The following is a 22,351-nucleotide window of genomic DNA, read 5'->3' as shown; positions in this document are numbered from 1 at the left end:
TCCATGCTCTTTCCCCAAGCCAGCAACACAGAATCCACAGAAGGAAGACAATGGAGCTACAAGGTGGGAGAAGCTGCCTGGGTCTCTAAATCACTGTAAGATAATCAACTGCTTGGGAAAACCTATTTGGATTTTAAGTGAACATGAAATAAACTACTAGCCTGGTAAGTGACTAGAATTTCATTATTTATCAGTTATGGCAGCTACTGTTACCATAATTAATACAGAAATCAAATGAACCATTTATGTCCGTACCATTCATCTGCAAAAGGTCTCTTCTAACATTAGCCTCCAAGAGCCACACTCCATAACAAAAGACACAGGATTGTTGATACCCTCACCCTATCTGCCTCAGTCCAGGGAAGGAAAAAGCAAAATGACCTAAACTCAAAAGGAAGCTAGGGCATCTGTTCTGCAGCTGTGTTTGCAAAACACTTAAATATGACTGAAAAAGGTCAAATGGCTATTTAAAAAAAATACAGGGCTAATGAGTATTATGGGACTATGGAAGGGAAGGTTTAAATCTCTTCCAACTCAAGCCTCGCCCAAGAAAAGGAGGCCTTAAGTGTTCCTTTGCTCCCAATCAGGAAAGAACAAATGACAAAGCATTGGCCTTGAAATAGATCTCTGCTACAAGGAGCTGGTAAACATATGTCTAAATTAGTCTATCTAAAGGCCAGCTCAGTGCCTCATGCCTGTAATCCCAGCAGTTTGGGAGGCCAAGGCAGGAGGCTCATTTGAACTCATGAGTTTGAGATAAGCCTGGGCAACACAGCAAGACTTCATCTCTACTTAAAAAAAAAAAAAAATTAGCTGGGCATAGTGGCAGGCTCCTATAGTCCCCAGTTACTCAAGAAGGGGAGAATGACTTGATTCCTGGAGATCAAGGCTGCAGTGAGCTTGTGCCACTGCACTCTAGCCTGAGCAACAGAGTGAGACCTGGTCTCAAAAAAGTGAACTAATTAATTAAGTAGGCTATCTGAAATTTAGAATATTCTCTTAACTGTGCCACTACTACTTCAGCTACCGAAGAAATCCATGCCCTCTTGATTATCTCCTCCAATGCAAACGTTTATACAGATGCTTAATTCTAGGTTCGGGGGAAACTTGAAGATGCTGTGCATACACCACAGTAGAGATGAGTCAACTTCCTCCTGTAGTTTTCTTTAAAACAATACTTACCAGTACATTTTGTTGCACAGCAGTCAAGAGATAAAAAAAAAAAAAAAAAAAAAAAAAAAACGCCATCCATCATCTTAGGCAGGAAATGGTGCACTGGCCCTGTACATCACATGATTTTGTTCCTTATAGGACTTCTAATGAAAGACCTAGCTCTGTGGGTTTAGTTCAGGAAAGGCTTCAGTGGGACATTTACTGGAAAAACTAACATCATAATTACCTTTAAGATCTAGAGACCTCAGTTTTTAGTGCTGATTTGCTTTATATCTTGAGTTTGACAGGATTTCTGCCCACATGGATCGACAGTGTAATCTATTTTTTTTTACAGAATCTTGTAATCATGCACATTATAGATGTATTAGCTTACTATACATTCCACTGAAATGTATTTAAATTTCTTTCTTCACAAAACAATCTTTTTGTGGGATGGCCAAAGATACTTCTTATTGCTGGGTGTGGTGGCTCATGCCTGTAATCCCAACACTTTGGGAGGCCGAGGCAGGCGGATCACTTGAGGTCAGGAGTTCAAGACCAGCATGGCCAACATGGTGAAACCCCATCTACACTAAAAATACAAAAATTAGCTAGGTGTGGTGGCATGCACCTATAGTCCCAGCTACTTGGGAGGCTGAGGTGGGAGAGTCAATTGAGCATGGGAGGCGGAGGTTGCAGTGAGCTGAGATTGCATCACTGCACTCCAGCCTGGGCAACAGAGTTAGGCTCTGTCTCAAAAAAAAAAAAAAAAAAAAAGATATTTCTTGTAACAAATTCAGAGTATATATGAAAACAGTAAAGAAAACAATAAAGAAAGAAAAGAAACCCCATAATTCTTCAACCCAGACATAATCATTATAAATATCATTTTATATACAGATTAATTACTATGCATATAAATCCATATATGACACACAGATATAAATGACAGGATGAGAGGAATACAATGGAAATTGTTCTATATAAGGTAATTTATAGTTTGTTTAAGTCAACAATATATTGTGTATTTTTCAGTGTCATAAAATATAACTGATAAGAAAAATGGAGCATAATTGGCCGAGCGCAGTGGCTCACACCTGTAATTCTAGCACTTTGGGAGGCTGAGGTGGGAGGATCACTTGAGGTCAGGAGTTCAAGACCAGCCTGGCCAACATGGTGAAATCCTGTCTCTACCAGAAACACAAAAATTAGCCGGGCATGGTGACAGGCGCCTGTAATCCCAGCTACTCTGGAGGCCAAGGCAGGAGAATCACTTGAACATGGGAGGTGTAGGTTGCAGTGGGTGGAGATTGCATCATTGCACTCCAAGCTGGGCGACAGAGCAAAACTCCATCTCGAAAAAAAAAAAAAAAAAGTAGCATAATTGTTTTATCCATTAACTAATGTTAGCCATTTATGTAATTTCCAATTTTTTTCTACCATAAATAAACTTTTCCTTTAGACACATTTTTGGGCATAACCATGGTTATTTCCTTAGGATAAAAACTGAAATGATTGGGTTAAAAGCTTTTATATTTTAATTTTTATGAGACTTTGCTGAACTGACCTCCAAAAATATGTACATTTATATTTCTACTATTAAGGTATAAATGCATTTTACCAACCCTATGTATTATAATAATCAGAAAAATAGTCAATTTGGTATGTAAAAAGTAGATCTTATTTTCATTGACAAGAATTGCTGATCAATTGAAACTTTCTAACCATTTATACTACTTCCAAGAACTTCCTGATACTGTCCTGTGACCCATTTTTTCCTTCTGTGTGTTCATCTTTTTTCTACTAATTATGAGATTCCTAATAATATCAGGAAAATTATTCCTTTGTCAACTCATTTACAAATATTTTCCACTTTCTGAATTTCAAGGGATTTTGTGGCATCAAAGGTTTTTTTTAATTTTCTTGAATAAAATCTATCAAGTTTTCATCCTGTCATTTCTTCATTTATACTTAATACTCATTCTTTCTACTATAGCATTTTAAAATGATTTTTATTTTAACTCATTTTTCATAATTATTTAATTGGTTGTGTTAAATCATATACAACATAGAAATTCATAAACTGTAGGGAAACAGAAAGTACAAGACTTAAAATTCTACTACCCAAAAGTAACACAATAAATAACAATAAACATTAGATATCTTTTTATGGAGAGTAAGAGAAGGTAATAAAGGAGAAGGGAAGAAAGAGGGAATAAAGAAGGATAGAAGAAACTCATACTAAATTTTATTTTAAATAAAAAGCATCAAATGTAATTTTACTCACATTTAACAGAAAATAAAGAAAAGGGCATGAAACAATAAAAAAATTTTTAAAACTTCAGATGACTTTCTTTACCACATGAAGGGCTTTTTTTTTTTTTGGAGACTGTGTGTTGCTCAGTCGCCCAGGCTGGAGTGCAGTGGCGTGATCTTGGCTTACTGCAAGCTCCGCCTCCTGCATTCGGGCCATTCTCCTGCCTCAGTCTCCCCAGTAGCTGGGACTACAGGCACCCGCCACCACACCCAGCTAATTGTTTGTATTTTTAGTAGAGACGGGGTTTCACCGTGTTAGCCAGGATGGTCTCGATCTCCTGACCAAGGGATCCACCCATCTCAGCCTCCCAAAGTGCTGGGATTGCAGGCATGAGCCACCGTGCCCGGCCAAAGGGCTTTTTTCTAATTAAAAATCTCTATGAGGCTTAAAAAATAATTATGAATAAAACAACAAAGTGTTACATAATTAACTAAACATTTCAATTTTAGAAAGTATCAATTTACTCTTTTATATTAAAGACAGATAATTACCATCCTCACACTTTATGTCATCTAGTTTTTGTGAGCTATATTGCTATTTGAACATCAAGGTTTAAAACACTTAAATTATTTTCATTGTAACACTGCTGTTATGTATGAATTGTTGGGTCTTCGTCTACTTCAAATGAATTCACTTCCTTGACCTTGTCTTTACCATTTGTGGTTTTTCTTTTGACTCAGCTCTCAATTGACTGGGGATGCCATTCAAGAGGAGATGAAGAAGTCTGTCTTCTGAATTCTGACCTGATGTCTACATACTTAACAATCTGGCAGGATATAATATTCTCGGGTCACACCTTCTTTCAGAACTTGCAGACACTGCATTATTTCTTTTGGCACTGAATTCAACTGGGAGAAGTCTGAGGCCAGCCAAATGTTTAACCATTTGAAAGTACTTCTTTTTTGCCTAGGTTTTCCATTTTCTTTTTAGGAACTCTCTTTTTTAATCACTAAACTTTTATTTAAATACTATATATCTTAGTGTTATCATTCTCTGTCAAATTTTCCTAGAAGATGGTGTGCTTTTTCCATACATTACTTAAGGGACTATATCTCATTTCCAAAAGGAAATTGTTTCAGGCCTTGACTTGATCCCTCAGTGTGATAAGTTAATACAAAAACTTGGAATCCCATTTTCATCACAGAACATCAATCTCAGTTCATTCTCCTTGTTTCAAAAAAGAACTATTTTCACTCACCAAAAGTCCTAAAGAAGAAAAACCAGGTATATCTAATCAATTCCTATCACTCTAATGTGGGGATTATTAAGGGAGAAATCTAGGAATTCCGTTGGCTTTGTAGGGATAGAAATGAGGGAAGGATACTTACGAAGTCACTCCAGAATCTCTGGGTTCTTTTTTTTCGCTGTCAATATTTTGCATGCATTGCTTTATGTGATGCTGCTTTCCTTGTCTGGTTACATTTGAATTTGTTGTTTTGGAGGGGGAGAGTCTCTACTTTACTATATAATGTTTATTTCATTAGGTTGGGACAAGGGATATTCTTTCATCTCTCTTTATCAACTTGATCTGGAAGTCCACAATTCCAAATGTTTATTCTTTGTAAAATGTTTGTGGTTTTGGTTTTCTTTTTTTTGAGGGGGGAGGGGGCTGGGTGTGGTGATATGGTTTGAAGGCTTCTTCTCCACCTTCAATCCAGAAGTTAAATAATTTCCCACTGCCAATTATTGAATAATTCATATTTTAATTATGTTTCTAGTATCTAAGCATACATATATATATATAGATATACACGTATATCAGGATGTGTTTCTGTGCTTTCTATTCTACACCCCTTCTTTAAGTTTATTCCTTGATATAAAGTCCACTAGACTTATTACAATAAATACTCATTATTCTTATTCTTCAAACTTCTATTGACATTTTTACTTATTTGTTCATCTGAGTTAGCTTTTGAAGAGTTTTTTTAACCTTTAAATAAAAATTATATTTTTTACCAGAATGACATGTTTACAAATTGATTTATTACAATTTTATCTTTATATAATTGAGTCTTCCCATTAATGTACACAGCATAGCTCTCCATTTACTGTATTTTTAATTTTTAATGGTTTTCAGGAAGCAATTTATAATTGTATTTACATTTCCAATTTCCTTTGGCTATCATTGTATATATTATTCTGTAGTAAGAAGCAGTAGTTACTCAACTAGTAGATATTATTATACTTTCTGATCTTCTTCAATCTATCAGGACAGTTGTAATATTATTTCAGATTTTAACCTACATCTCCCCAGCATTTTATTTTGAGGCTAGAATGGAGGATAAGGTATAGGAACTCAATGCTATATGCACCAATGTTTACACGGAAACTATATCAAAACACAGTTCTGCATTAAGGGAGCATACGATAGGTTTGTTGGTGATTACTAGTGAAGCAAAACAGGGCATGTTTTGTGCTCCTGTAGTTTTATTTTATTTATTAATGACTGGATATTACCCTTCCCATTTTTTAATTGATGGAAAAGTACTATGTATATGTGGGAAAAACCGAATGAATGAACACATAAAATATATAGAAAATGATATTACCAAGAATTAGAAGTGGACCTCTTATATGTCATTATAATGTACTATATTTTTCTTATAATTATTATAATCTGTCCTATAATTTGAAAAGGCTTTCCTTATTCAAAAGCTTCTATTTTATCTCAATGAGGTATGGGAAAGTTTGATTCATTTTGTTGGTTCCTTAAAAACATCAGCTTTGTAGTTAGTGATCCTTTCAACAGTTCGTTTTTATTTTTCTCGTTTCTTCATGTTAGCCTCCACCCTTACTAATTTGTACTTCCTACTTTACTTTATTGTACTTTAATTAATGTTGTAATATAAGTACAAAGTTCTTCTAACTTTAATCTTTATTTTTCAGTAATGGAGGTATTTATTTCTGATAAGAGTTTTTGCTATGAAGTACAGAAAATTTTAGATAATTTCTAATTTTTCTTTTATTTTCTTCTATTCTCTAAAGGATATCTTCACACTGCTTCTTAATTTCTAAGTAGGTAAGATATTTTTGCATAATTTCTTTTTTTATTTCCAATTTTATCACATTATGGTCAGGAGGCAGTGTCCAATAAAATGTCTACTCTGTCTGCTTTGTTCATTTGATGGCCCAGGACATGACCCGCCTTTTTTTTTTGTATATCTTCTTTAGCCATGAAGTATATCCTCAAAATATGTAAGATTGAACATATATCTGTTGAGCCAAGTTTTATGAATCTATTACTCAATTTCTCTATATCTGTATGTATTATCAATTGGTCCCATTCTGAGAGAGATATGTCATCTCTACCATTATTCTATTTTATCAAGTTCTTTTGCATCTCAAATGAATTTTGCTTTATATTTTTGACATCGCTATTTGATGTTTTCAGGTTTATGAACTTAACACCATCTACTTAAATTATTCCTTTCAAAATACAGAATGTCCTTCCACATTCTCTTTTGAACTTTTAACCTCAGGTTCAACTCATTGTGTTTTGGGCTTTCAAATCCCATCTGATTTTTACAGTGATAATAAATTTCTGCTTTACTTTTGTTTGCTATACGTTTCTTTACTCAGTTTTTTTTTTAAACATAATAAATATTCATGTAACCACCAACCAACTTAGTAAGTATTTCTGGATACCTGTCCATCATCCCATTCTTCACACTCTACTTCGGGATAACCAATAATCATAAATTTTGTTTTTTATTCCCATGTACGTCTTTATACTTTTAATTAGATGAATATCTATTCATACGCAATTTACAATTTTGTCTTCACGTATTTTTGAAATTGAAATAAATTGCATCATTATTATGTATCCTTCTGCAACTTGCTTTACTGCTTTATATTTGATTTGTGCAAGGTAACTTTACTTCATTCATTTTCAGTTCTGAATATATCCAACTGTATGAATATACCTTAGTTTATTTATCTGTTCTCCTATTCTATGTTGTTTCCAACTTTTAATATTAGCAATGTTATATTGAACACTGTTCACACACATGAGACTTTCTCTATGTCAAGGAGAGAGTTCCTTAGTCATAGAGTATAAGTATATTTATCTTTTTCAAAAATTGTAAATTGTTCTTCAATGTGATTGTACCAGTATATAATTCCACCAGTGACTGGAGAGTTACCACTGATGTACATCCTTTGTCAACACTTGATACTGTCAACAGTTTTAAAATTTACCATCCTGATAAGCATTAAATGCATGTTTTATTTGCATTTTCTTGATTACTACTGAAGTTGAGTATATCACCCATATGTTTACTGCTAACTCAAGTTTCCTCTTCAGTGAATTGTCTGTTTATATTCTTCATGATCCTAACAGATTTTCTTTTTCTAATTTATTTGCACAATTTTTTTCGTATGTTTAGGATACAAATCCACTGTATCCTAGATAAACTGCAAATATCTTCTTTCACTTTGTGCCTTGTCTTTTCACTTTTTATGGTATCTTTTAAAGTACTTTTTATTCTAATGGTCAAATTTATCTTTTTGCTGTATGATTTATGTGTATTTATTGTTTTAGAAATCCTTCCTTAATCCAAGGTGATAATACTATTATCCTGCACTTCCAAAGAGTTTTAAATTTTGTTTTTCACATTTTTACTAGCTTTACTGAACTATAATACACATACCACAAAATTCACACATTTTGCAAATGAACAATTCATTTAAAAATTATATAGAGTCATGCCACTATCATTACAATATAGTTATAGGTCATTTTTATCATCCTCAACAGTTCCCTGTGCCCACTGGCAGTTAATTCCCACTCCCATTGCTAGCCCCATTTAACCACTTATTTGCATTCTGGACATTTCATATAAACAGAAGCATATAGTATATAGTTTTTGCATCTGGCTTCTTTCACTTAGCATAATAGTTTTAGGACTCATTATGTCATAGCATGCATCAGTAGTTTGTTCCCTTTTAATTGCACAATAGTATTCCATTGTATAGACATAAAACATTTTGTTTGTCCATTCATCAGCTGATTGACTTTTGGATTGTTTCTAGTTTGGAGCTACTATTAATAATAGTACTGGCTGGGCACAGTGGCTCACGCCTGTAATCCCAGCACTTTGGGAGGCTGGGGTGGGCAGATCATCTGAGGTCAGGAGTTTGAGACCAGCCTGACCAACATAGTGAAACCCCATCTCCACTAAATATACAAAAAAATTAGCTGGGCATGGTGGCACGCACCTGTAGTCCTGGCTACGTGGGAGGCTTAGGCAGAAGAATCGCTTGAACATGGGAAGCAGAGGTTTCAGTGAGCGGAGATCGTGCCACTATACTCCAGCCTGGGTAATAGAGTGAGACTCCATCTCAAAATAATAATAATAGTAATAATAGTACTAAGAACATTCATGCGAAGTCTGGCTATGAACATGCTATCACTTCTTTTGGATACATTCCTAAGTATGGTAATACTTTTTAAGAAATTAGGAAATCCTTTTGGAACATGGCTGCAGGATTCTACATTCCATCAGCAATGCATAAGCATTCAGTAAGTAGTCTATGCTGTGGTTTTGTTTTCGTTCAGTTCTAACTAACGTCTAATGTTCTTTATGATTTCTTTTTTGACTCAGGGATTAGTTACGTTCTTTACTTCCAAATACCTTGCAATTTCTCAAACCTCTTTCATTCAAATTTAATTCTGTGTGGTCAGATAATACACTCTGTTTGATTTATTAGTTTTTAAATTTACTGAGACTTGTTTTATATTTTACACCCCAACTCATAATACCTTTTGGAGAATGCTGCATATGCACTTGAAAACAATTTTGCTAGCTTTAAGTGGAGTGTTTCATAAATGCCAAAATATTACCCAATAGGATGTCAAACAGGGGTGGTGAAAGCAGGCTTTTGTTAATTGTTAGTTTTTCAAAGGGGATGCTTCTAACATTTCATTACTAAATAGGACTGTGGAAAGTTTTCAGTAGACATATGTTACCAGATTGAATAAATTATTTTCTATTTGTGGTTTGCTAAAAATTTTTATGACAAATGATACTGAATTTTATGAAAATTTTTTGCACACATCATAATTATATAGCTATTCTCCTTTGTTAATAAATAGATGAAATGTTGTCCTGATGTTAAACCACCTTTACATTCTATGACTACCCTCAATTTGGTTATGCTGTATACTTTTAAAAAAGTAACTGATAGACTCATGTTCATAGGGGAGATTGACCATAAATTTCCCTTATAATTGGATAATCCATATCCAATTTTGGTATCATGGTTGTATGAATTATATTAGGTGAAATAGTGGCCGATTCCTTCTTTAGCTAGTCATGGAAAAGTATTTTATAAGTGAATAATACGGCTTTTTGGCCTTGCCGTTACTCTGTTTAATAGTCTTGCTTTCTGTTTCATTCACTTCTGCCCTTTACTATTTCTTTTGCCTTCTTAGGCTGACAATTAATGAGGTAAGCATAACCGAGAACCTAGAAAAATGAAAACCTAAGTACCTTTCTGCTTTTAATATAAATATTCACAACTATGAATTTTCTCTAGTATCATTTAGACCAAATCTCACAAGTGTAAATATACATAATTTTAAATATTTTTACTGCATTTTATAATTTGTATAATGAATAACTTCTTGTTATAGTTATTTAGAAGATATATATATTTCTATTTTCTAAGTTTAATTTTTGTCATTGATTTCTTGTTTAATTGCACTGTTTGCAGAGAAAGTCATCTGTATGACAATTTGTTTAAATTTCTTGAGCCTACTTTATGGTCTCATTTAAATAATTTCTATAGTTTTGTGTGTTTGAAAAGAACGTGTATGACACTCAAGCCAATGGATTTTTTTTTTCAAATTATACTTTTGAGATTTTTTGTAATTGATCTTCTAAGGAAAAAAATATGTTAAAATTTGTAAAATACTCTTCCAAATTTAGTCAATAATAGATTTCTACGACTCACCTACACTAAGTGTATACGCATTTGAAACTTTTACATTCCTAGTGAATTACACCTTTTTCATAACATGGTGGCCCCCTTCATCCTCATTAAATTTTTTGCCTTAAAGTTTATTTTTATATATTTAAATAATGCAATAACAGCTTTTATCATTTAATTTTTAGAATAAGTAATACACTTACCTAGTTAAAAATATATGACATAAAAAAATACATAGAGATTTTACACCCAACTCATCCTTTACATTTCCACATCACTCACAGCTCCCCCATACAAGTGAACACTTTATAATTTCTCATTTCCCTACCACTTTACCCTTCTCTTTTAAATGCACTTTATTTTTAGAGCAGTTTTAGGTTCTCAGTAAAATTGAGCAGAATGTAGGGAGTCCCATATGTCCCTACCCCTACATATACACAGCTTTCCCCACTGTCAACATCCCTCACCAGAGTGGTACATTTGTTATAACTGCCTATTAACTTTTTAAATGCAAATAAAAATATATCATTTGTTCCATTCCTTTAACAGACAGCATTTTTTAAAAGTAAATCATCACTCTATTCATCAGAGATGGCACCTTTATTAGCACTAAAATCACTAAGTATTTGGGTCAATCTATGGACTGCACTTTGCTGTTTATTCACAAATATGTACTATATTGTTTTCTTTACTAAAATATTATATTTCTTTTAATATTATATGGCTAACTTCCCTTTGTTGTTCTCCTTGTCCTTGTTGGGTTCTGGAGTTTCACTTTGTGGTAAGATTTCATACTAATTTTCCCTGATTAGAATTCATTTTACTTCCAAAATCTGAGAAATCAGGTCTTTCATCAATTTTGTAAAACTTTAGTAATTTACTTTGAATATTGCCTCTTCCTCATTCTCTCTTCCCCTTTTCTATAACTCTTATTAGCCATATTTGAAACCTTTCCTTTTTTCCCCCTCTCTTAATGTCATGGTTGTAATCTTGCTTATTGGTGTTGATTTCTAGGTAATTTCTTCAGTTCTATCCCTCAGTTCACCAATTCTTTGTGAAGCTTTGTCTAATCTGTTTAATGTTTCCATATAGGTGTTCATTGTAATTACTACCTTTACATTTTCACAAGTTACTTAGGGTTTTTTTAATTACATGGTTTATTTTTAAATTACCTTGTTTTTAAAGTCTTGTTTCTTTTAGTATGCTTGATTTTCATTTCTGGAATGTGAGAATTTCCCTTACTTTTGTGTGCACACCTATATATTTAATAGGATTTTTGACATATTTTTATCTAACATTTCTAAGTTTTTAGTAGATCAAAGTGTTTCAGGATATCTAGTTTTTACACTCATCACTTTTCTAAGAACTCTTTCTTTTATTATACTTTAAGTTTTAGGGTACATGTACACAACATGCAGGTTTGTTACATATGTATACATATGCCATGTTGGTGTGCTGCACCCATTAACTCATCATTTAACATTAGGTATATCTCCTAATGCTATCCCTCCCCCCTCCCCCCATGTTTAAGGAGAAACATCACACACATTGTTCAATTCCTACCTATGAGTGAGAACATGTGGTGTTTGGTTTTGAACTCTTAATAGCCACATGTGAAGTCTCTTATTTTCTAAGGCTTTATCTTTTCTCTCACTCTCTATTTTTCATCCATGCTTTCAGATCTTCCATTAAGTAGGGTGAAGGGTTAAAAAATCATCAGCTAAAAGAGCAGAATATTATCATTGGTGCTCTATTTGAATCTCAAAATCTCTTTGTATAAATGAAATTCAGATGTTCCACAACAGCCTCCACCATAGTTTTACTTCACTGGGTACACAGTTTGATGATTCTCTCATCCTGCCTCTGGCTAGTAGGCCCCTTTAGATGAGTTGCTATTTTTCACTACCCACAGAGTCAAGGTCAAATCTCATGGCTGTGAATTTTAAATGATGAGATCCCTGCAGGTAGTGTCAGGCAGAGCACCCTTTAAACTTACTGACTTGTAGTATAAAACTTAGCAAGCTATAAGTCCTGCACCATGAGCCCCTGGAGCCAGCATGATAGCACTCCAATCTTCCTACACACCGACCCACAAGTTTAAGGTCAAAAAGATTTATCCCATTTCAGATCTTCTTGGCTTTTTGTGGACTGAAATAGGTGAATTAAAGTTCGTTCTGAAGTCTTAAACTTTAAGTGACTGTCTGTTTCTCCTGTAATTTCTAGTTTATGAATGTTTCTATTTTATCATTATAAAGAATTCTTCTTTATCTAATGGTTATTGCTTTTTGGCTTGTATTCTAATTTGTCCAATACTAAGATCATGGTTCCTACTTTCTGCTTTTTTTTTTTATTATTATACTTTAAGTTTTAGGGTACATGTGCACAATGTGCAGGTTAGTTACGTAGGTATACATGTGCCATGCTGGTGCGCTGCACCCACTAACTCATCATCTCGCATTAGGTGTATCTCCCAATGCCATCCCTCCCCCCTCCCCCCACCCCTTTCTGCTTTCTTTGTACTTATATAATAAAACTTTACTCATCCTTTTACTTTCAACCTTTCAAAACCACTTTGGTTTTTGGGTATGTTTCTTGCATACAGAACTGGGTTTCATTACTGTGATCAATTGTGATATTTTTCTTACAACAGCTGATTTATAAAAGCTTTTACATTTTTTTTTAATGACAGTAAGACTGGTCTTAGATATTTCATATTTTATGTTATGCTTACTGATCTTTACGGATTTTTCAAAGTTCCATTACATACATTGTTCTTAGTTTTATCCATACAGATCTTAAATATTTTGAAAGCTTTATAATTTTATAGAACTGCTTATCTTTTTAACTGTGAAAGAATAAGTAATCCTCCATCTGTTTAAAAAGGGTATTTCCCTACTATGAGAAATGTAAATGTCAGCATATTTACTCTTAATTTTTTCCTTTCATCTACATCATCAAATTTTAGTCAATAGGCCTATATTTGTAATATTTCATCTGTCCACTTACATGGAAATTCTGACTCTTTGCACTTGCTCTACTTTCCTTCTTTTCTCAGTCCCCTCCCAATTCATTACGGTTGTGTCATTTGTACATTATTAGCATATATAAAAAGTAAATTCTGGTCTGTCACAGTAATATGAACATTTATTTTAGTCTTAGTTTTATGGTTAAATTTATTCAGTGCTCACCAGCGGTCCTTAGCAATAGTTTCTCCAGTCATTCCTAGTTGGTTGGACTTTATTCCCCACAATTTCCTCAAGATTTAGTCACAGAAATAATTTGCTGTATGGCTAAAAAATATTTGACAGCATCCTTTTTACTTAAAGGATAGTTTGGCTCCCACTTTCTTCATTTAATTATGATTGTTATAGTTTTTTGTATTGAAGGTTATTTTAGAGTCTAAAGCCAGACTCATTTTTCTCCTTATTTGTGCACTATTATACAAAGTATTCTTCTATTTAAGTCCAGTAATGCACTTTGATGCTAACCATTCTAGGTCAGTTTTCCCTGGCAAACAATATGTCCTCTAAATAAAAATGGCAAAATCTTACATCTAGACTTCACTGAATTATAGATTTAAATATTCGTTTTGTTCCATTATTCTGCTTTTCTTATTTGGGAACTCCATTTATGCCATTATTATTATTTTGGCTTTTTTTTTTTTTTTTGAGATGGAGTCTCCCTCTGCTTCCCAGGCTCTGGAATGCAATGGCACGGTCTCAGCTCATTGCAACCTCCACCTCCCGGGTTGAAGCAATTCTCCTGCCTCAGCCTCCCGAGTAGCTGGGATGACAGGCACCTGCCACCATGCCCGGCTAATTTTTGTATTTTTAGTAGAGATGGTGTTTCACCATGTTGGCCAGGCTGGTCTCAAACTGCTGACCTCGTTGATCTGCCCACCTCGGCCTCCCAAAGTGCTGGGATTACAGGCATGAGCCAGCACACCTGGCCAATTTATGCCATTATGGTAATTTGTTTTTCTCCCATGTCGCTCATTTTCTTTCTAATCCTAAACTCATATTTTCATCTATTCATAATATTTGCTTTTTTTTCAGTTTTATCTTCTGTGTATTTCACTATGCTACTAGCCAGAGTTTTGCCTTTGAGCAATTTCCAATTTTATTTTTTTGTGTATAGTTATTTTCTTCCAGTATTTGTCCAATATTTTATTAACTCATAATTAAATACTTCCATGCTATCTGTGTTAGTCCATTCTCATGCTGCTATGAAGAAATACCCAAGATTGGCTAATTTATAAAGGAAAGAGGTTTAATTGACTCACAGTTCTGCATTGCTGGGGAGGCCTCAGGAAACTTACAATCATGGTGGAAGGCAAGGAGAAGTAGGCACCTTCTTCACAGGGCAGGAAGATGGAGTGAGGGAAAGCAGGGGAAATGCCAAATGCTTACAAAACCATCAGATCTCATGCGACTCACTATTACAAGAACAGCAGGGGGGAACTGCCCCCATGATCCAATTATGTCTACCTGGTCCCACCCTTTACAGGTGAGGATTACAAGTCAAGATGAGATTTTAGGTGGGGGGACACAACCAAACCATATCACTATGTTAACATTTCTTACAACATTTTTTTTTTCCAGATATGGATCTTGCTACATTGCCCAGGCTGGACTCAAACTCCTGGGCTCAAGCAATCCTCCTGCGTAAGCCTCCGGAGTAGCTGGATTACTTCTCCAAATTCTGTTTAGTGGTTCTTTCTCAGAAGCTATGTATGTATGTATGTATGTATGTATGTATGTATGCATTTGTTTATTTTTAACTTATGAAATTTTTAAATCAAAATGCTATGTATTCCATAGCAATATTTTTCTGCTAAGTGCTATTCATGTACTGGTTACTTTAACTTATTTTTTCCATGTTTTTTATCTGATTCACCTGCACTGATGATGTGCCAATTCTTTTGATGCAGTCTAATTTACGTGGACCATCTGTCTGCAGGACACTTCCATGCATATGTGTAAAAGAAGGGACAAGGGTAACCTTTTGCTTTCACAATCCACAAACTTTCCTTTCTCTATAGCCACAGAGATAGACTGCTTGCCACAAATACAGCTCATCTGTGTAATTCTTTGTGATATATCTTCTCCTTTTCTGAAACCAATCTGATTCAAATAAAACTCTGCTATCAGGCATGATATATGTATATCTATTATTTCAAACAAATGATCTATTTTTGTAATTTAAGGTGTGCCTCTCATCTTCAGAAACTCTACTTTCACTGACACTTCCTATTTGCTATAAGTGAACTCTCTCACCATTCTCTTTGCATTTTATCTTCTCTTTAGCCTTAACAGCTTTTACCCAACCTGAGCAACTTTAAGCAGCTGATACCCGTATTCTGGAGTTCATATTTTGCATCTATCTTCTACTTGTGATAACATTTGTGATAGAGAGTACATTTTTTACTTCTTGTTGTATCATTTATACATTTTACAGGAAAAAGGGGGAAAATAGGCTATCTCAAACAGCATCTTTATACAGGAAACTGCCTGCTTGTTATTTTTAATTTTGTATTAACTGAGTTTTCATCTTTTCGTAAATTTTTTAATGTGCTTTCTTGACATTTTTAGGAGGCTGCATCTTGGGCTACAATCCTTTAACTTTCTCCAGTCAGTTTATTTTAATTAACTGAAGTTAAAGAAGTGATCTTTATCTCTTAATATAAAAAGGGCATATGCTTCTTCACTCCCAGCACTCTGTCACCAAGTGTACTTACAGTTCCATATACCATATATATATATATCCATATGTGTGTGTATATATATCCATATATGTGTGTATATATCCATATATGTGTGTATATATATCCATACATATGTGTGTATATATCCATACATATGTGTATATATATCCATACATATATGTGTGTATATATATCCATACATGTGTATATATATCCACATATATGTGTGTGTATATCCATATATGTGTGTGTATGTATATCCATATATATGTATGTGTATATATATCCATATATGTGTATGTATATATATATCCATATATATGTGTATGTATATATATATCCATATATGTGTGTATATATATCCGTGTGTGTGTGTGTGTGTGTGTATACACACACATATATATCCTTTTCTACAATCCTGGCTTTGTTTGAACTATTCCTTATATCCATATCCATAGTATATCTAGTCTCCCTTACTTAATTATTCTTTGGTACCGAAATTTTAAAAATATTTAAACTTCTAGGCTATACAGCTTGTTAGACATGTCTTGTCTGAATTTTGTGCAGTTTTCATGATTATTACAAATAAGCGCTTTGCAAATTTAAGTAAGCACCAAAAAAAAAAAAAAACAAGGGCGAAAATGAGGTTCTGATAGGAACCTCATCTAGTAACATTTAAATTATAGTTGCACTACTTCCTTGGCTTCATTTGTAAGGAAAATATACTCTTAAAACATTCCTACACTGGATAGTGTAGCATGAATTGCAATCATTAAGCCAGCAGCAGTTTCTTACACAAAAAGTGTTCTTAGAAAGTATTCAAATTCTTGATTTGGGGAAAGAAATGAGGTATTCTAGCATCTTTAAGTCACAAAATTAATCAATAAGCCCTACTGTTAGAAACTAATAACAAATACTGACTCAGCATGTAAGCATAAGATCAACTCTGAGAAAGACCTCAGCATATACACAGTATTTCCTTGTCAAGAAAGCTTTCCTTGAAATCATACCTATATGTGCATCATTTTATCTTGACAAAATATTTTATTACATCTTCAGAATAGATAATGCTTTCTTTTCAGGAAGAATATAGAAATAAACTAATTACTTAAATTGTAATTTTGTTTCACAATCTACTATTAATAAAATATATTTTATAAAACATTTTTACAATTTCTACCACAGAAAGCTATTATTTTCCGCTGTTAGATTTTTCAAGTCAAATTTCATGCTACATTACATAGAAAACTCATAAAAACATAATCTCAATAGTTATTTCTAGAATGCATTATGACAAATATCAACTTACTTGTGACCTAAATGCTTCAGAAAGTATCCCAGAACCTTCAAAGCTTGAACCCAAATACTTTCACTTTTAGAAGCCAATAATTTGTAGATCACCCTACAAAATATATAAATTATCTTTTAAAAACTTACTAATATTAAAAACAAAAACACACTACATGCTTTACAGATAAATTATACATATGTGAAATATAAAACTCTGAAGATTTTCTTCTCAGGATTATAATTCTTTGGAAAAATTAAAAACTAGCATGCTTTAATAATTTTTCTTTAAACAGTCCTTCAGCCATACACTCAAAAGGGCAATGTGACTGGTGTTCATAAGTACTGCCTCCCAACATACTAACACATGCTTAGTTAGGCCACATGTCTTCTCTCTAAGAATTGGCCCCAATATTTAAACTTGATAACCCTATTTTCTTTTTTAAAATCTTTTTTCTTAATTTTAATATAGAGGTGAGGTTTTGCCAAATTGACCAGGCTAGTCTGGAACTCCTGAGTTTAAACGATTCGACCACCTCGGCCTCCCAAAGTGCTGGAATTACAGGCGTGAGCCACCTGCACCCTAACCCTGTTTTCTTGGTATAACTAATTAGATGATAGGTAGGCACCTGCCTAGTTCTTTCTCCTTTTTGAGAATTTGGAATGAGGTCTAAGAAACAATATCTCCTCTTTGCTGGGCTCTTGAATTCAAAAACTGTTTAAAATAGAAACTAGAACAGTAACGTTTTGTTTCTGTTCAGAAAGGCTAGTCAACATACAGAAGGAAGGATTAAACAGCTTACAGAAAGCAGTAGATAAAGCAAACTTGTTTCCTAACAGCCCTACAATTCCTGGTTCCTACTCTAAGATTTTGTTTTATATACTTTAAGTTCTAGGGTACATGTGTACAACGTGCAGGTTTGTTACGTATGTATACATGTGCCATGTTGGTGTGCTGCACCCCTTAACTCATCATTTACATTAGGTATATCTCCTAATGCTATCCCTCCCCCCTCCCCCGACCCCACAACAGGCCCCGGTGTGTGATGTTCCCCTTCCTGTGTCCAAGTGTTCTCATTGTTCAATTCCCACCTATGAGTGAGAACATGTGGTATTTGGTTTTTTGTCCTAGCGGTAGTTTGCTGAGAATGATGGTTTCCAGCTTCATCCATGTCCCTACAAAGGACATGAACTCATCATTTTTTATGGCTGCATAGTATTCCATGGTGTATATGTGCCACATTTTCTTAATCCAGTCTGTCATTGTTGGACATTTGGTTTGGTTCCAAGTCTTTGCTATTGTGAATAGTGCCACAATAAACATACGTGTGCATGTGTCTTTACAGCAGCATGATTTATAATCCTTTGGTAAGGTTTTTTTTAACAAGTATATTGTTCAGTTTTTACTTTAAAAGCTTTAGAGGTTTTCTGTTACTTGGAGCAAAATAGCCTCCACTAATATACAACTTAACCTATACAATCACTTCAAGTACTATATAAAAGTAGGGCCATATTCATTATAACATTTGTTTAAGTGTTTAGAAATTTTATTCCATTTTTTCTATTAAAAAAAGTAATTTGTTTCCATAAAGTAGAAGGGACAATGACAACTATATACACTGGCAACAAATTCTAGAATACAAGAAGGTTCTTTAGGGGCTGTAACATTATAGTGTGCTTTATTTTATTAAATATGTTTCTGAAAAAATAAAATGCCATGGCATATTTTGAGGTAAAGTACTCAGCTGAACAAGAGAATCTAGTAAAAGATGCAATATAATTTTCATAGTTTCAGTGATACAAAGGGGAACAAATAGCTTAAAGTCATTATTTTTAGTTTTGCCAAGAGCTTATACTATTAAAAAAGAAAAGATGTTATTGATACTGCTTCTTTTTCTCTTTTTTTCTTTTATGCTTTGCATTTCATCTATTAAAGAATAAACTATGAGAAAAGTGATTATTTCCTTTGGAAGATTTTTTTTTCAAATCCCACATTCATAAATATGTATGGGTTTACACTGAAATCCATTTTCAAAACTTTTAGGAACCAAGATCAGTAATGAAAAAAGACAAGTCTGAGAATAGCAAAGTCAGACATGTCAAAAAAAAAAAACACATTCAAGAAATCATAAGAAGCAACACTAAACAGCAAAAATAGTCTTGAGAACCAAAGTAAAAGCTCACAGTCTGGGCCAGGCATGGTGGCTCATGCCTGTAATCCTAACACTTTAGGAGGTCAAGGTGGGCAGACTGCCTGAGCGCAGAAGTTCAAGAGCAGCCTGGGCAACATGGTGAAACCCTGTCTCTACCAAAATACAAAAAAAATTAGTCAGGTGTGGTGGCACATGCCTGTAGTGCCAGTTACTTGGGAAGCTAAGGCATGAGAATTGCTTGAACCCAGGAGGTGGAGGCTGCCATAAGCCGAGATGGTACCACTGCACTCCAGCCTAGACAACAGAGCGAGACTCTAAAAAAAAATTAAAAAATTAAAAAAAACCCTCACAGTCTAAAAATGTGGCTACACTCAAATATAGAACTGGAAGTTCTCACAGAGTTTCTATTGTCTAGGAATAACTTCGAGTAGCAGGAAAAAAGGTATTAGACCCCACCCTGGGTCAAGAGAAATTATGACTAATGTTGAAACATGAAAATGTCTAGGTCCATCACACATCTACATACCTAGGGATGTGATACAGTATGAATAAGAAATTTACTTTGTTAATTAATGTTTACTTGTAATATACATTATTACTAAATAACAATAATCCTAATACATCTGCTTAAGCTCACTATATTCAGTAAGCAAATGGTCTAAGCTATATAAGAGAGGTAGCTGTCTATTCCTTTCTTTGAAATTTCCCAGATATAAAAACATCAAATTTTTAGCTGCTTACTTCAGTGTTCTGTTATTACAAGGGCTTCCTTAAGCCCAATTAGCATACCATCAGAATTAAACTGAGTTCATTCTTTTTGTTCAACTGTTATACTGAATTCAACTGTATGAATTACAACAGACTAGAATTTTCCTCCCAAAATACTTCATATACAACTGTTAGCCTTTAATGGCTATTTTCTAGAAAACAGACATATAAATTCGTTAGCCACTTTCAATATTTTCTATCTAATAAGCCTATTTTTTTCATCTTTTATACTATTCTGAACCAGCTTTCTCCACATTTTTGAAGTAGAAAAGCTGAAGTGTCAAGGAAAGGCCGTTTTTTAATCTGTGTGATTGTTTTTAACATACGGGTAACAATCTGACATGTTCTGCTCATGGTCAGCCATGAGCACAAGGCCTTTTAATCTGTTGTGCTTAATTAGTTCTTTCGTACCATACATTTAAAATACATGTAAATCCTAAAGGTCTTACCAAATAGCACTCTCAATTGTAGGATCATATTTCCGATGTGTCAAAATAATACAATTATATTTCTGCATTTCATCATACTAGACAATCTAAGTTTGGTATCTTCTACAAGAGTAATGTGGATATCTTCAACTGATTCACTAAATTTATCAAGTAATATAATAAACAAAGCAAAATCTAAGGACAAGGACACTAATTATTCAATCTAAATATAAGTTCAGAAGAGTGAGAGTAATTGTACTACATTATTAGATTGAGCTATATGAAATTGTCATTATTTTGTAAAATCAGTTAAGTATCAACAGTTTCATATAGCTCAAACTCTAGAGTAAAAAATTATAGGCTGGGCACGGTGGCTTACGCCTGTAATCCCAGCACTTTGGGAGACCAAGGCAGGCAGATCACAAGGTCAGGAGATGGAGACCATCCTGGCTAACATGGTGAAACCCCGTCTCTACTAAAACAAAATACAAAAAATTAGCCGGGCATTGTGGCAGGCGCCTGTAGTCCCAGCTACTCAGGAGGCTGAGGCAGGAGAATGGCGTGAACCCGGGAAGTGGAGCTTGCAGTGAGCTGAGATTGCGCCACTGCACACTGCACTCCAGCCTGGGCGACAGAGCAAGACTCTGTCTCAAAAAGAAAAAAAAATTGTAACAGTTGTTAATCACTAAATGTATAATCTTCTTCAAATAGATTGGCAGCCCTATGAATTATAAACTCAAAGGTAATACTCATATCACAACTGAGATATGCATAAAGAGATAGTGATTGCTTCTCTAATTTGAAAAGGAGTTCTTCAAGTCTAGAAAGTTGTTATTCATTGATATAAATGGCCAAGTAAAAAAGGCACTTAAAAAAGCCCTTGACAGTCACTGATATATTATTTCCAAACTCTTTTTCACAATAAAACTGTGGAAATTCACTGAGTTATACATGGCATAACCTCGATATCCTGCTCATCCCACTAATTAAAACTCCAGAAAAATAAAAACGAAGAATTCCTTAAAAAGCTAAATGATAGGGTTAAGTTCATAAAAATACTAATTAAGAAATTATATTTCACCTATCTACCAAGTTACATTTCAATTGCCACAACAAAAGTTGGTTTTCAGTTTCTTTTGGCTTTGGCCTGTTATTCCAAAACATCTTTCATCTCTATTATTTCCATTGCACTGCCACTGTCTCAAGTCATCATCTTTAATACTGATGAATAAAATAATCTCCCTGCTGATATTGCTACATCAGTTTGTCCTTCAACTCATGTTTCACACTGGTGATTGTAAATCTAACAAAATAGCAATCTGAGCACAACATTTCCCCTACTCAAAATTCTTTAATTTTCATCACCAGCTGAAAGAAAAAAACCACTAAAGTTATTACCATTCTATGAACCTTCCAAATCTGGCTATAATCTCTCTCGGGCCTCATATCATAAAATTTCATTGTATCCTCTTTTGGTAAAATGTGCCTTGCTTTTTCGTGTCTTCTTGGAAAAAAAAATGCTCTATTCACAATTTGTAATGTCCTTACTATAGCAAATACAATTTAATTACTCTTCTTGATTCCTGAGACTACTGTTTATACACTTCATCAG

The 22,351-nt window shown here is 34.0% G+C and overlaps 1 protein-coding gene and 1 long non-coding RNA gene across 14 annotated transcripts in view; one reads left to right on the top strand and one right to left on the bottom strand.

Moving 5' to 3' along the window:
- NBEA (neurobeachin) overlaps positions 1–22,351 on the bottom strand; it is a 730,467-nt gene that overhangs the window by 531,750 nt on the left and 176,366 nt on the right. For all 13 annotated transcript variants that reach the window (XM_047430271.1, NM_001385012.1, XM_006719803.4 and 10 more), the window contains one exon: positions 17,413–17,505. In XM_047430271.1, the coding sequence (XP_047286227.1) occupies positions 17,413–17,505 (93 nt within the window). The remainder of the gene's footprint in view (positions 1–17,412; positions 17,506–22,351) is intronic.
- LOC124903232 (uncharacterized) lies at positions 24–15,555 on the top strand. The gene is made up of 2 exons (XR_007063909.1): positions 24–164; positions 4,150–15,555. It is a non-coding gene; the product is annotated as an uncharacterized LOC124903232 (long non-coding RNA).

The sequence above is a fragment of the Homo sapiens genome, chromosome 13, assembly GCF_000001405.40.
Source record: "Homo sapiens chromosome 13, GRCh38.p14 Primary Assembly".
Taxonomy (NCBI): Eukaryota; Metazoa; Chordata; class Mammalia; order Primates; family Hominidae; genus Homo; species Homo sapiens.
Note: the sequence above shows the minus strand (reverse complement) of the source record. Positions and strands in the feature narration are given on the sequence as shown.